General features: G+C 42.5%; 1 protein-coding gene across 19 annotated transcripts in view, besides 2 other annotated features; it reads left to right on the top strand.

Annotated features, from left to right (window-relative positions):
• Positions 7,059–7,238: a silencer, noted in NCBI's record as "silent region_19997". NCBI's record gives its function as "represses an Ori minimal core promoter by ATAC-STARR-seq in GM12878 lymphoblastoid cells {active_cell/tissue: GM12878}" and the evidence as "EXISTENCE:reporter gene assay evidence [ECO:0000049][PMID:35858748]".
• Positions 7,259–7,468: an enhancer, noted in NCBI's record as "active region_28516". NCBI's record gives its function as "activates an Ori minimal core promoter by ATAC-STARR-seq in GM12878 lymphoblastoid cells {active_cell/tissue: GM12878}" and the evidence as "EXISTENCE:reporter gene assay evidence [ECO:0000049][PMID:35858748]".
• The window catches only part of TUT7 (terminal uridylyl transferase 7), a 66,678-nt gene continuing 60,215 nt past the window's right edge, over positions 7,317–13,779 (top strand). For 12 of the 19 annotated variants that reach the window (NM_001185074.2, NM_024617.4, XM_005252207.4 and 9 more), the window contains exons 1-2: positions 7,317–7,456; positions 8,497–9,047. In NM_001185074.2, the coding sequence (NP_001172003.1) occupies positions 8,528–9,047 (520 nt within the window). In that variant the 5' untranslated portion in view covers positions 7,317–7,456; positions 8,497–8,527. Of the gene's footprint in view, positions 8,278–8,496; positions 9,048–13,779 lie in introns of all 19 variants that reach the window. The other 7 variants (XM_017015130.2, XM_047423867.1, XM_011519013.3 and 4 more) reach the window with 3 other exon arrangements.

Raw genomic sequence — 13,779 nt, 5'->3', positions numbered from 1 at the left:
CTAAAATCAAATAGCTGTAGGATTTGCATCAATATTTTGGTAGGTGACAATTAATAAAAATGTAGATTGGATAAACTACATCTACTACAACCAATAGCGATTTATTAACTACACTAGAATTAGGAGTTTGCATCATGATTAAAACTCAATGTTGCACCTTCATCCCAAACAACACTGCCCCTAATGGAAGTATAACAAAAGCATCGCAAGGTCTGACTGCTCTATCCAACAAGTTAGCCCGCAACTCAGGGGTAAATGACCCTTTTACAGGATGGCTAGAAAAGTGGTTCGGTAAATGGAAAGCAATAGTAGCCACAATTCCTACTTCCCTCACAGTCATAATAGGTGTACTTATTCTTGCTGGCTGCTGTGTCATACCATGCATCTGTAGGTTGATGCAGAGGCTCATAAAAATGGCACTCACTAAAACCTCCCTTAACTATCCTCACCTTATCCAGAGAAGCTTCTTCTTTTGCAAAATCAAGCAAAACAACTAAGCCAAGACATGTTTAAAAAGTTTGAAAAGAAAGCTGTAAGGAAATAGAAGAGGAGGGGTTGTTAGATATGAGTCCTAAATTTCTTTTCAAAGAATCAATATGTCAGTATGTTCAATTCTTTGCCTTCTACTTTTAAACTTAACTTCCTCATAAAGCAACCTTTTTCGATTACCTACTCCACCCTGACTCATTCCAATCACCTGCTCTGTCATAACCATTTTTCCTGCCAAACCACTCACTCCATCACTCTCTTCAAATTAGCCAATCGGAATTAGTTTAGCCTCTGTCGCCTAACCCTAGCCAATAAGGGAAGGACACAGTAGCAGTGGCCACATGCATCAGGGATAAGAACCCCTTCCCCTCCCTTGTCCAAGTGTGTGCTCACCATTGCTCCATCTGTAAGGGCACACCCTTCTATAGAAGTACCTTGCCTTCCTGAGAATCAAAAAGAAAATTTTATATTCAAGTGCTATTTCTTTTGCAGCACCGAAACTTTATATATAACATCACTACGTTACCAAGGCTGGTCTCAAATTCCTGGGCTCAAGAAATCCTCCCACCTTGACCTCCCAAAGTGCTGGGATTATAGGGTAAACAACCACGCCCAGCCTATAAGCCACTGTGCCGGCAAAATTTTGCATAGAAGGCTGATTTATGGGTTATAACAACAATTTAATTAGTTATGGCTTGTTTTCATTTCCATACAGCTTGTTTTCATTTTCTTCTCAACTTAAGAGTATATTTAACATTCCCTCTTAGACAATGTGCTAGTCATAAGCCTTAGTGTGAGAGAGTTAAGAGGAAAGGTAATCTATAATGAAGATCAACAGTAAAGAGAAAAGGGGTCTTCTCTGGAGCCCATTAGTCATTTACAACATTTTACAAAACAATATAGGTAAAGAAGAAGGTTAATCTATAATGAGAGAAACAAAGGCTACAGCTGCCTAGGTTATAGCTGCCTGTCAAGTGACTCAGGCTCCATAAGCACATTCCTTTAAGGTTCAAAAAATTTAAAGTTTCAACAGCTTAGATTTTTAAATTCTTTTTACAAGACAAAAAAATACACCGGGTAAAATGTTAGATTAAAATTTAAATGGGTGGTCAGGGCTGGGTGTGGTGGCTCACGCTTGTAATCCCAGAACTTTGGGAGGCAGAGGTGGGTGGATCACCTGAGGTTGGGAGTACAAGACCAGCCTGGCCAACATGGTGAAACCCCATCTCTACTAAAAATTCAAAAAACTTAGCTGGGTGTAGTGATGGGCACCTGTAATCCCAGCTACTCAGGAGGCTGAGGCACGAGAATCGCTTGAACCTGGGAGGTGAAGGTTGCAGTGAGCTGAGATCGCGCCACTGCACTCCAGCCTGGGCAACAGAGCAAGACTCCATCTCAAAAATAAATAAATAAATAAAATAAATAATAAATAAGTAAATACATAAATAAATTGGTGGTCAGAATAGGCTGCATTAAGAATGTGACCTTTCAGCAAAGACATGAAGGGAAAGAGGAAGTGACCAATATAGATGTCTTAGGGAAACTGTTTTAGGCTGAGGGAACACCCAGCGCAAAGCCCTGAGGCTTGTGATGGAAGAATTGCAAGGCTAGCATAGTCGGGGTGCAATGTGTGTGTATGGGAGGGGATGTAATGAAAAAAATAGTTTCCACTCTATTCTCACATTCAATACAGCACATTTCTGTGACCAGATAAGTGGAGATTGGTGATTTCCCCACATACCAAGTGTTGGAGCTTAGAAAATGATGCCCCAACATGTGGCACTTTGGCATGCTGTGTGCCTTTAACAAGGAAATTGAAAGGGCTCAGAAATAAATCTCAGAACCAAGGACTGTCTGATTTTCTCTTGCCTCACCCCACCACCCTCACCCACCTACAGGAAGGGAGGGACTTTCTCTAAACTTCCTTTATCTGATTAAGGGAAGTTTCTCCAGAAGAAATGCAATTGTCTTAGACCCCCTCCTTGGAATCTACACTAACTAGAGAAGATGAACTCGTATCTCAGGAGAGCCCAGGACAATGTACCTGGACAGGCTTTTTTTTTTTTTCTAGACAGAGTCTCACTCTGTTGCCCAGGCTGGAGTACAGTAGTGCAATCACAGCTCACTGCAGCCTCGACCTCCCTGGGTTCAGGTGATCCTCCCACCTCAGTCTGCTGAGTAGCTGGGACTACAGGTGTGTGCCACCATGCCAGGTTAATCTTTTGTATTTATCGTAGAGATGGGGTTTTGTCATGTTGCCCAGACTGGTCTCAAATTCCTAGGCTCAAGTGATCCTCAGGCCTCAGCCTCCCAAAGTATTGGGATTACAGGTGTGAGCCACCACGTCTGGCTGGACACACTTTTCACCTATTTTTTTAAAACCATTTTTCTAGTCTGAAAGACTTTATCTGTATAAGAAGAAACTTTTGCTCAACACACACTTACTCTACCCTCACCTTTCAATGACTGTGGTCACCACCTCCCCATCAGAGGCCCTGGTTTCTTTCTGTAGCTCAGGGTCCCATTTAAGCTTCAGCCATTTGGCCCTTCTTTGAGTTTCATACTTTGTTTGGGTCTCGCTAGCTTGCAAGTTAATAAATCGATATGTTTTTTCTCCTGTTAATCTGTCTATTGTCAGTTTGTTTTATAGATTCAAACCATCAAAGCTTCTGAGGGTATAAAGTTCCTTCTGCCTTTACAGAAGCAATTATACCAACTTGGTGTCCTATAATCCATTTCAATTCTATCTACCTGGCAATAGTGTCAGATCCCACAGGTGAGGGCTCAGCCCTACGAGTTTGCCCCCACTTCAGATACCAGTCACAAGTCAAAGCCACCCATACTTCTGACTGACTGGTTTCTGAGGTTCCCGTGTCCCCAGTGGCCCAGAGAACTCAGGGAAACACGCTTACTGGTTTATTATAAATGATATTATAAGGTATACAGATGAACAGCCAGATGAAGAGGTACATAGGGCAAGGGCACAGAGCTTCCATGCCCTGTCTAGGTGAGCCAACGTTCAGCACCTACATGTGTTCAACTATAGGGAATCTCATCAAATCTTTTTGTTCAAGACTACTTAGAGAGCTTGATCTCCGGCCCCCTCCTCCCCTTCACAGAGGTCAGTTGGTGAAGCTCAAAGTTCTAACCCTCTAATCCTCCAATCACTTGGTCTTTCTGGTGATTAGCCCCATGCTGAGGCTATGTAGGGCCCCCATCCTAAATCATCTCATTAGCATAAACTCAGGAGTTTAGGGGCTCACTATAAACACGGAAAGACACTTCTATCACTCAGGAAATTTCAAGGATTTTAAGAGCTCTATGACAGAAACTGGGGACAAAGGCCAAATATATTTTATATTATACCACTGGGGTAAGAGGAATAAGGGCTGAGATCGGGAGGTAAAGGGAAAGGCCCTGAGTCATTGAAGGATTTTGGTTTTTACTCCCAGAGAAATTGGGAGCCAGTGAAAGGTTTTGAGGGGTAACTCAGTCTGATTTTTAATATGCATTTTCTGGCTATTGTGTCAAGAGTAGATTGGAGGACAAGGTGGAAGCAAGTGATAGTGGTGAGCATTTGGCTGGAAGCAGAGAAAGTAGTGATAAGTTACTGGACTCCAGACAGATTTGAAGGACAAACCAACATAACTTGCTAACAATGTGGATAAAAACCGCTGGCATTTAAGCATTAGAGCTCTAAAAACCGAAAACCAAACCAAACCAAACAAAATAAAACACTGGGGAAAGAATTTGGCTGATAAAGCTATGAATATAATTCCTGTATTTCTGACTCCATGGCTGTATAGAAAAAAAGCACTGGGTTTGTTCAAAGTTGACTTGTCAAGATGTATTACAATGTTAATTTCAAGATAGAATTACAAGAATGTCAAGATGTATTACATGTGTTACAATGTAAACTTCAAGATGTATTACATGTATTACAATGTGAATTTCAAGATAGAATTACAAAAATGCCAAGATGTATTACATGTACTACAATGTTAATTTCTAGATAGAATTACAAGAATGTCAAGACATATTATGTATTAAATGTTAATTTCGAGATAGAATCACAAGATTTCAAGTTGTATTACAATGTTAAGCTCAAGATAGAAAATATATTGTAACATATGGAGCAGTATTAAGGTCCTCTGAACATTGCTTAACAGTATATGGCAGCCTTTGCCCTCACATTTCTGCTCCAGGTTGTTGGAAATATGTCAAGACCGTGAAGCAATCACCATAAAGATTCTGAGAAACTCATTAATCCTTCCAGTGACATCCAAAGAAAACTCAAATCAAAATTTCCAACCAGATTGTAAGAATTCCTAGGACCAATTTAAATATCCATTACAGCATAATATGGACAGAAAAAGGTATATTCTGCTGTCAATATATTTTGATTAGTACTGCATCTTATTTGAGAGAGCCTGATTTGTCCTCAAAATGAATCTTAAAAGCAACCATTAGAATAAAAGAAGTTGGGCTTTGGGAAAGACGTTGAAGAAAACGCAAATTCAAAACGTTTTATTTTTTAAATTTATTTTTGAGAGAGACAGGGTATTGCCCTGTTGCCTAGGCTGGAGTGTGGTGGCACCATCATAGCTCACTGCAGCCTCCAACTCCTGGGCTTAAGGTATCCTCCTACCTCAGTCTCCAGGGTTGCTGGGACTACAAGCAGGAGCCAAAGTGCCTGGCAAAAGTATTTTAAATCGGGCCAGGCCTGGTGGCTTACGCCTGTAATCCTAGCACTTTGGGAGGCCAAGGCCGGTGGATCACTTGAGGTCAGGAGTTCCAGACCAGCCTGGCCAACATGGTGAAACCCCGTCTCTACTAAAAATACAAAACTTAACCAGGCATAGTGGTGCCTGTCTGCAATCCCAGCTACTTGGGAGGCTGGGGCAGGAGAATCACTTGAACCTGGGAGGCAGAGGATGCAGTAAGCCAAGATCGCACCACTACACTCCAGCCTGGGCAACACAGTAAGACTCTGTCTCAAAAAAAAAAAATTAAATCCTTAGAAAGATGTATCCTCTGCTGCTGCTCTAGAACTCTAGGTGGAGGCAAAGGTTGCAGCCAGCGGAGATCATGCCACTGCACTCCAGCCTGGGCAACAGAGTGGCACTCCATCTCAAAAAAAAAAAAAAAATCCTTAAAAGTATGTATCCTCTGCTGCTACTCTAGAACTCTAGGTGGAGGCAGATTTCTAAACCAGTTCTTTTGCACAGGAATTACTGGTTTGGGTGGGGCGTGGTGACGCTGCTGTCTCAGAATTAATGTAATCATGCATCTCCACACTCCCTTTTGGACTATATTTTCAAGGCCACTGTCTGCCTGTTGAAGAGACTATCAGTTTGATCCTCACGTATTTTCACAATCAAAATATCTAAGTAAGGAATTATATAAAAGTTGTAGGAATGTGTTTTATATCACTTTTAGTATAGCCACATGGTTAATAACAGCCTCATATTCAGGGTCTGGATTGCAGCAGTGCCATTTACTTCACTGCAAGTGCTAAATGTCCTCATCTTTAAAAGTGGGATAATGATATAGTCTTCATGAAGCTGTGAGGATTAAAGAAGTTAAGGCTGGGTATGGTGGACCACCCCTGTAATCCCAACACTTTGGGAGGCCAAGTTGGGCGGATGGCTTGAGGTCAGGAATTGGAGAGCAGCCTGGGCAACATAGGAGACCCCTGTCTCTACAAAAATATAAAACAAAGGAGTTAATATTTGTAAAGCCTTCAAAACAGTTATTGGCATAGCCAGAACTTTGTGTGTTATTATTTTAAGACCATTGCTCCACAGGACCTGACAGCTTTCAATTTACATGCTTTAAAAAAGCAGAGAAATGAAAACTGTCGATTTTCCCAACGCTCCCTAATTTCACTAGTTGCTTGATGTTTTTCAAAGCATTTAGAACACTGTAAACAGCAAGGAAGGTCATACAGTAAAGAAAGAAAAAGCAACCCCGAGTTCGAGGTGTGCACTCTTCAACTCAAAAATTCGAATGTAACGCTCTCTGGTCATCCCTTGCCATTACACATATTCTTCGAAATGAACTGATTTTTTTTTTTTCCAAGTAAAAGTAATCCTTACACAACCTAAGAAAAAAGCAGAGCATTTTCCTTGACCACTTTGAGATCTGGGTGAGCAGTGGATGTTTAAATGCTGGCATTTCTACAAGGTCGGCAATTAAGAATTCACGAAAACATTAATCACTACGAATTATCAGAAAAACACCAAGAGCGCTACGAGGCCTCGGAGCCTTTACTCCCCCTGGAAGTAACCGGGGAGCACCCAGGGGCAAAGCCGAGGCCCCAAGCGCGGGGAATGCGGCTTTGCCCGACCGCTGGCTCCGCGTCCCTCTCCGGGTGCATAAGTCTTGGCTCCCGCGCCTCTCCCGAGCACTTAGCCTCCCGAGCAGAGAGGGGAACCAGAGGAGCGTCGAAGCCGGGAGAGAAAAGGGGCGGGCGCCGCTCTGGTAAGAAGTTCGGGCCTGGCCCCCAAGCGCCGGCGAACCGGCTATCCGGCGAGCCAGTAATTAGCCCGCTCCGACGGTTGCGCCCGGTGGCCAGACCCGGCGCCCGACACCTGGAGCGAGTGCGCTGGGGCGCCGGACAGGAGAGGCCAGGCTGGCAAAGGCGCGGGAGGCGGGGTCGGAGCGTGGGCGGGGCACCGCGGGGCGGGGCGCGTCGCTCGTTTCCGGTGTGCGCGGCGGAGCGCTAGGGCGGGGGCACAGTCGGCTCCCAATCGCGCACAATGAGACAGCGCTGAGCGCCGGAAGTGGGGCCGAAGGAAAACACGGAGAGGGAGCCCGGCCGGGACAGGAAGAGGCTGGGGACCGCGGCGAAGGTGGTGAGTGCTCTTGGGCGCCTTCTCCCAACGTCCCTGCCAGACTCGCCTCCGGGCTGATTCTCCAGTTGGTTTCCTGGACTCCAGAGTAGCTGTCCGGCCTGGCCCCGGAGGTACGTTGGTTCCATCCCCCGCCGGCCTCCTCGCACCAGTTTGGGTGACCGAGGAACCCCCAGGCCGGCAGAGGCTGAGCCCTCGGGTTCGAGTCCGTGTTTTCACTTTTTGTCAGACTGCGGGCGCAGAAGACGGGATTTGGGTCAAGACATTCGGCTCTGGCCCCCTGGCCGGCCGGGGGAACCCTGGAACCCCATGGAGACAGCAGGTCACTTCCTGCTTCCTGGTCCCCACGGTGGCTTCTTGGCCAGGAGTGCAGGGACGCCTCCTCTTTCTCCACGTCGGGCTCAAAAGGGTGGAAACTAAGGCAGATCGGTGGTGGAGCGGTCAGATGGGGATTGAAGAGGAGTGTCATTCCTCAGGGAATTGCTGTTCCTGACAAAACCAAACTTGTTTGGGGTTGGAGAACGGGGATTGAGGAGGTTAGATGGAGTTGTCCCTTGATCGGAAACCCAGCCTCTTTAATTACAGCTGCACCTTGGTCGGAAGCCCAGCCCCTCCGTAACCTAAGCGCTCAAAGCCGGTCTGTCCAGAATAGGGGTGGTGAAGGGACGGAAAATTGGAGTTGAGAAATGTAGTACTCCTTTCACGTAAAGTTTCGGTGTATAACACTTACAAGTAATTGCCAACTTAAAAAACAAAAGACTGTTTCGGTAGTTTAGTAATAATATTGGCTTGGGATGAGGTTTTCTTTGAAGAGAAACGCCTTGTTACAGAGGGAAAAGCCGACCATACTTGATATGAGTAATATTCTACTATGCTACAGTTCTGGAACCTATAGAGCTTCTCTTATTCACACATTTAATCTTCATGCTAAATAGTAAGTATTAATTTTCATGAAGAATATTAGAGGACCAAGCCTCCCAACCTCTAGGGTAAAGCACTGATTATTAAGAATGTGATAGAATTTTTATTTTAAAAAAATAGGGAGTTTCTTTCTTACAGGCTTTGGGGCATCTGTACGATAAATTGTTATTTTGTATACTTGTATGATATCTTGTTATATAGTTTGATATTTCCCCAAAATACCTTCTTTCAGGTGCAAAGTAAGAAAATTGAAGTCAAAGACCATGGGAGATACAGCAAAACCTTATTTCGTGAAGCGCACTAAAGACCGGGGGACTATGGATGATGATGACTTCAGAAGGGGTCACCCCCAACAAGATTATTTAATAATAGATGACCATGCTAAAGGCCATGGCAGTAAAATGGAAAAGGGCCTTCAAAAAAAGAAGATAACACCAGGGAACTATGGGAATACCCCCAGAAAAGGACCATGTGCTGTTTCCAGCAATCCATATGCATTTAAAAACCCAATCTACAGTCAACCCGCTTGGATGAATGACAGCCACAAAGATCAGAGTAAGAGATGGCTGTCTGATGAACATACTGGTAATTCAGACAACTGGAGAGAATTCAAACCTGGACCTAGAATTCCTGTTATAAACCGACAAAGAAAAGACTCCTTTCAAGAAAATGAAGATGGTTATAGGTGGCAAGACACAAGAGGCTGCAGAACTGTAAGACGACTGTTTCATAAAGACCTAACAAGCCTAGAAACCACGTCAGAAATGGAAGCAGGAAGTCCTGGTAATGTTTTCCAACTTGTCAGATCACAACCCCAGAGTCAGCAATGTTTTATTCTTTTTCATCCAAATGAGTTTTGTTATTTTCAGCAATTTAGTTTCAGTTTTTCACAGTTTCTGTTTTAAGAAATGGTCACTTAGTGTGATTATTTTAAGGATAGTAATCATGATATTTGAGCAGCTAAAACACATTTCATATGTTGATCCCTTTAAAAGTTTACTTTGCCCCAGGGCTCACTTTACGTCAGTAAACATGTTTTCTGTAACGTGTTTTTTACAGAAGAGGGTAGCTATATGCTCCAGGGGACCATATCGTAATTGCTCAGTGGTTTGTGTGTTTTCAAAATTGTGATTATAATTTTGTATTTGAATAATTAATGTGTTCATAATATAAATGACAGAATATAAAGCTTTTTTTAAAAAAAAAACTTATTTGTTGATGTAAAAACACAGTATACACTGCGTATATCTCCTGCCACAAGAGATATATCTTTTGGATGTAGTGTCAGTGTCCCGAGATGGATAATCTGAGATCTTTGTTTTTCAAAAGGGATCGTGACAAACAGGTTGAGAAACAAGTTTAGAAAGTCAGAAATAGATTCAAGCTTTGCTGTTTGGTTTCAGTAAGACCAAAACTAATTTCTCGGTGCCCTCACATGCTTGGTTAATTGCCCCAAAGGGATAATAAGGAGATAATATGTTTTTCTAAAAGTAAAAAGTAGATTTTATCCATGTGGCAACGATTTCTGCAAACAGGAAGGTTATTTTTATCTAATGGGAGATATATACCGAAATGAAATAAAGTCACAAATTGGATGGAAAAAATGAAACAATATCACAGTTGGAAACATGGACTTGTAAGTTTAGTGGCTGAAAGCGTTTTTTAGTGGTTGTATAGAATGTGTTTCAAACTGGCCAGCACTTTTAAATAAATTTTTTTAGTTTAAATGCATTCAGGGAATATGGACACTTTCTAGATCACCCGATGCCTTTTCTCTTCATGTTATCTCACAGTGGCCAGTTCATACACTGGTTACCTATAAGGTGTTTGAATTTGTGTCCCATGCGTATAGAATACTTAAAAGCCAAAAGGTCGTCTTTTATCTTTACAAGGTCTTAGGATAAAAATGAAAGTCTCAAGCACTTATTAATATTAAATGGGGGGAAATGTGCTACTTGATTTTTTTTCTTTTTTCACAGATACTTCTAGTTGTCAGATCTGTTTATTTATATTTTATTTTATTTTTTGAGACGGAGTCTCGCTCTGTCACCCAGGCTGGAGTACAGTGGCGCGATCTTGGCTCACTGCAACCTCTGCCTCCTGGGTTCAAGCGATTCTCCTGTCTCATCCCCCAAAGTAGCTGGGACTACAGGCACATGCCACCACATCAGGCTAATTTTTGTATTTTTAATAGAGACAGGGTTTCACCATGTTGGCCTGACTGGTCTCAAACTCCTAACCTCCAGTGATCCACCCACCTTGGCCTCCCAAAGTGCTGGGATTACAGGCGTGAGCCACCACATTCAGCCTGATTTTTTTTTTTTTTTTTTGAGACAGTCTCACTGTGTCACCCAGGCTGGAGGTGCAGTGATGTGACCTCCTCTCACTGTGGCCTCTGCCTCCCAGGATCAAGCGGTTCTCATGTCTCAGCCTCCCAAGTAGCTGGGACTACAGGTGCACACCACCATGCCCAGCTAATTTTTCTGTTTTTTAATAGAGATAGGGTTTCTCCCTGTTGGCCAGGCTGGTCTTGAACTCCTGACCTCAAGTGATCGACCTGCCTCTGCTTCCCAAAGTGCTGGGATTACAGGCGTGAACTACCGCGCCTGGCCCTCAGATATTTTTAAATTTGAAAATTAAGAGTATATATTAATATCAAGTAGCAGAAACAGAATGAAGTGTTATAAAGGCGTTAAGTAGTAGGGAGACATAAAACTTAAATCTTTAAGCTAGAAATAGCTTGAGGAATTATCTGATGCAGTACTCTGTTGTAATATATCAAAAATGGAATCACAGTTTTACAAATCAGGCAGCTGCAGCTCAGAGAGGTTAAATTTCCACAGACCTGTTTATGCAGCGCGGTAAATGAGGAAGTAGAACTAAAATTGGGGACTCTGCTACTCTGGCCATTAACTCAGCCTCGCTGGACCTGAAATCCTGACGGCGGAGCCGAATATTTCTTGATAATTTCTGGGCTTTTGATTTGTGTTTTTCTTTATTAAAAATTGTGTATATTTAAGTGTTTCTGTATTACTGTCCAGGTGGGATGTGGGTATTTAATTTTGTTACCTATAGTCTTGTAGAAGTTGATCTTGAAAACCATTTCATTTTATTATTATTATTCTCTTTTTTGAGATGGAGTCTCGCTCTGTAGCCCAGGCTGGAGTGCAGTGGTGCGATCTTGGTTCACTGCAACCTCCATCTCCCAGGTTCAAGCAATTCTCTTGCCTCAGCCTCCTGAGTGGCTGGGACTACAGGCACGTGCCACCACACCTAGCTAATTTTTGTATTTTTAGTAGAGTTGGGGTTTTAGCATGTTGGCCAGGGGTAGTCTCGATACCCTGACCTCATGATCTGCCTGCCTTGACGTCCCAAAGTGTTGGGATTACAGGTGTGAGCCACTGCACCCGGCTGAAAAGCATTTTAAAAAGAAAGTTTATAGATCAAAAATTTGCAACTAGACATTAAAAGGAACTGTTGGCTGACCACAAAAACTTTTATATGTTTTCTTATTTTATGTGTATTCTTATAAAAGCAACTAAAGAAGTTGCTTTTAAGTGTATTTGAATAGGAAATGCATTTTGCTATTTTTTTATTGGAGGTAATTCAAAAGTTTGCATGTTTTTGCTGTATGACATACAGGTATATGCTTTCACAGTTATTAAGTAAAGAATTATTCAGTTTCTATCCCTTGAAAATCTTCATATAGGAAGCATTAAGCTTCGGTATAACATTATTTAGTTTAGAGAGATTCAACTGAAAGTATAAACTAAAAAGGATCTCATTAAAGAGATCGAAATTTCTTTATCAAAATTGTGTCTTAATAAGGAAGGGTATTATTCAACAATGTGAGAAGATATAATGGAAATTATGGTGGAGTTGCTTTTTTCCCCCCCACATACGGTACTACCTTCTGTTTTTTTCAGCTCTACATTACTGCCCCTACTTTAGCCTTCAAATGTCCTAGATTGCCAGTTTAATGTATTTGGGACATTGCCATTAATGATCTTAGCTGGAAAGCATCCACTCAAATACACATGTCCTTTGTGAACCATATGCAAATAAAATATGGGAAACTTGGAATGCCGAATATAGAGAACTCTTATTACAATAAATCTGAGGTAAGCCAGGTAGTCTTCCTCCAAGTAATTATGAGAATTTTTCTTTTTTCTTTTTTTTTTTTGAGATGGAGTTTCACTCTTGTCGCCCAGGCTGGAGTGCAATGGCATGATCTCGGTTCACTGCAACCTCTGCCTCCCGAGTTCAAGCAATTCTCCTGCCTCAGCCTCCCGAGTAGCTGGGATTACAGGTGCCTGCCACCACGCCCAGCTAATTTTTGTATTTTTAGTAGAGACAGGGTTTCACCATGTTGGCCAGGATGGTCTCGAACTCCCGACCTCAGGTGATCCACCTGCCTCGGCCTCCCAAAATGCTGGGATTACAGGCATGAGCTGCCACGCCTGGCCAAGAATTTTTCATCAGTACCTAGCTTTACCCTCCAAGAGTCCCTCCGGTGAGATTTTGACAGTTTTTACCATGCATGCCTGTGAAAGTAGGTTTAGAAGGTTATATTGCCTTTCAGTGCTAGTCCACTCTAGATGTGAATGGGTATGTTCCAAGAAGGGATTTTAGTAATTTCTTTCCAGTTTTTATGTTGTTAGTTAGAAGGCTGAATTTCAGGATTTCATCCTTTTTTTGTTTGTTTGTTTTTTAGACAGAGTCTCACTCTGTCACCCAGGCTGGAGTGCAATGGCGCAATCATGACTCACCACAGCCTCACCTCCTGGGCTTAAGCAGTCCTTCCGTCTCAGCCTCCTGAGTAGCTGGGACCACAGGAGTGAGTCATCTTGCTGGCTGATTTTTTTCATTTTTGCTAGAGATGACATCTCACTATGTTGTCCAGGCTGGTCTTGAACTTCTGAGCTCAAGCAGTCCTCCCACCTTACCCTCCCAAAGTGCTGGGAATTACAGGCATGACCCACTGCACCTGGCCCCATCCATATTTTAATCTATATTTTCAATCCCTTTACTTTGATTTAGCCATGTGTTCTTGGAGAAGTTATTCTCTTGGATTCGCATTGTCCCCATCTGTACAATGGGGACAGTATTAGCAGGATTGCTGTAGGGATTAAATAAGGCAGTACATATAAAGTGCTTTACATCTGTTGCATAATAAGATACACCATCATGGTAGCTGCCATTATCTGACAGAATTTCTGCAGCCATCCACTTCTGTATAAAAGCAGTAGGAGTTGATTGAGGTCTTTGGAGGAAGAGAGAAGTTACTCTTTCTAGAAAATGACAGCAAATATGGTTATATGGAGAAACCTTTGTGACCAGAAGAGAGGAAGAGTTTAAAAAAGGAATTCGGTTCCCTATCACTTACTGGCTTGTGAACTAATAGGGGCTTTTCTAAAGGGTATTGCAGTATTATTTTAAATTTATAGAGTTTTTGCCTAAGAAACCTGTAATAAACACTGAAGTTAGATGCAGTTTTTTTGATAATGTTTATAAT

The sequence above is a fragment of the Homo sapiens genome, chromosome 9 (assembly GCF_000001405.40).
Source record: "Homo sapiens chromosome 9, GRCh38.p14 Primary Assembly".
NCBI classification, from domain to species: domain Eukaryota; kingdom Metazoa; phylum Chordata; class Mammalia; order Primates; family Hominidae; genus Homo; species Homo sapiens.
Note: the sequence above shows the minus strand (reverse complement) of the source record. Positions and strands in the feature narration are given on the sequence as shown.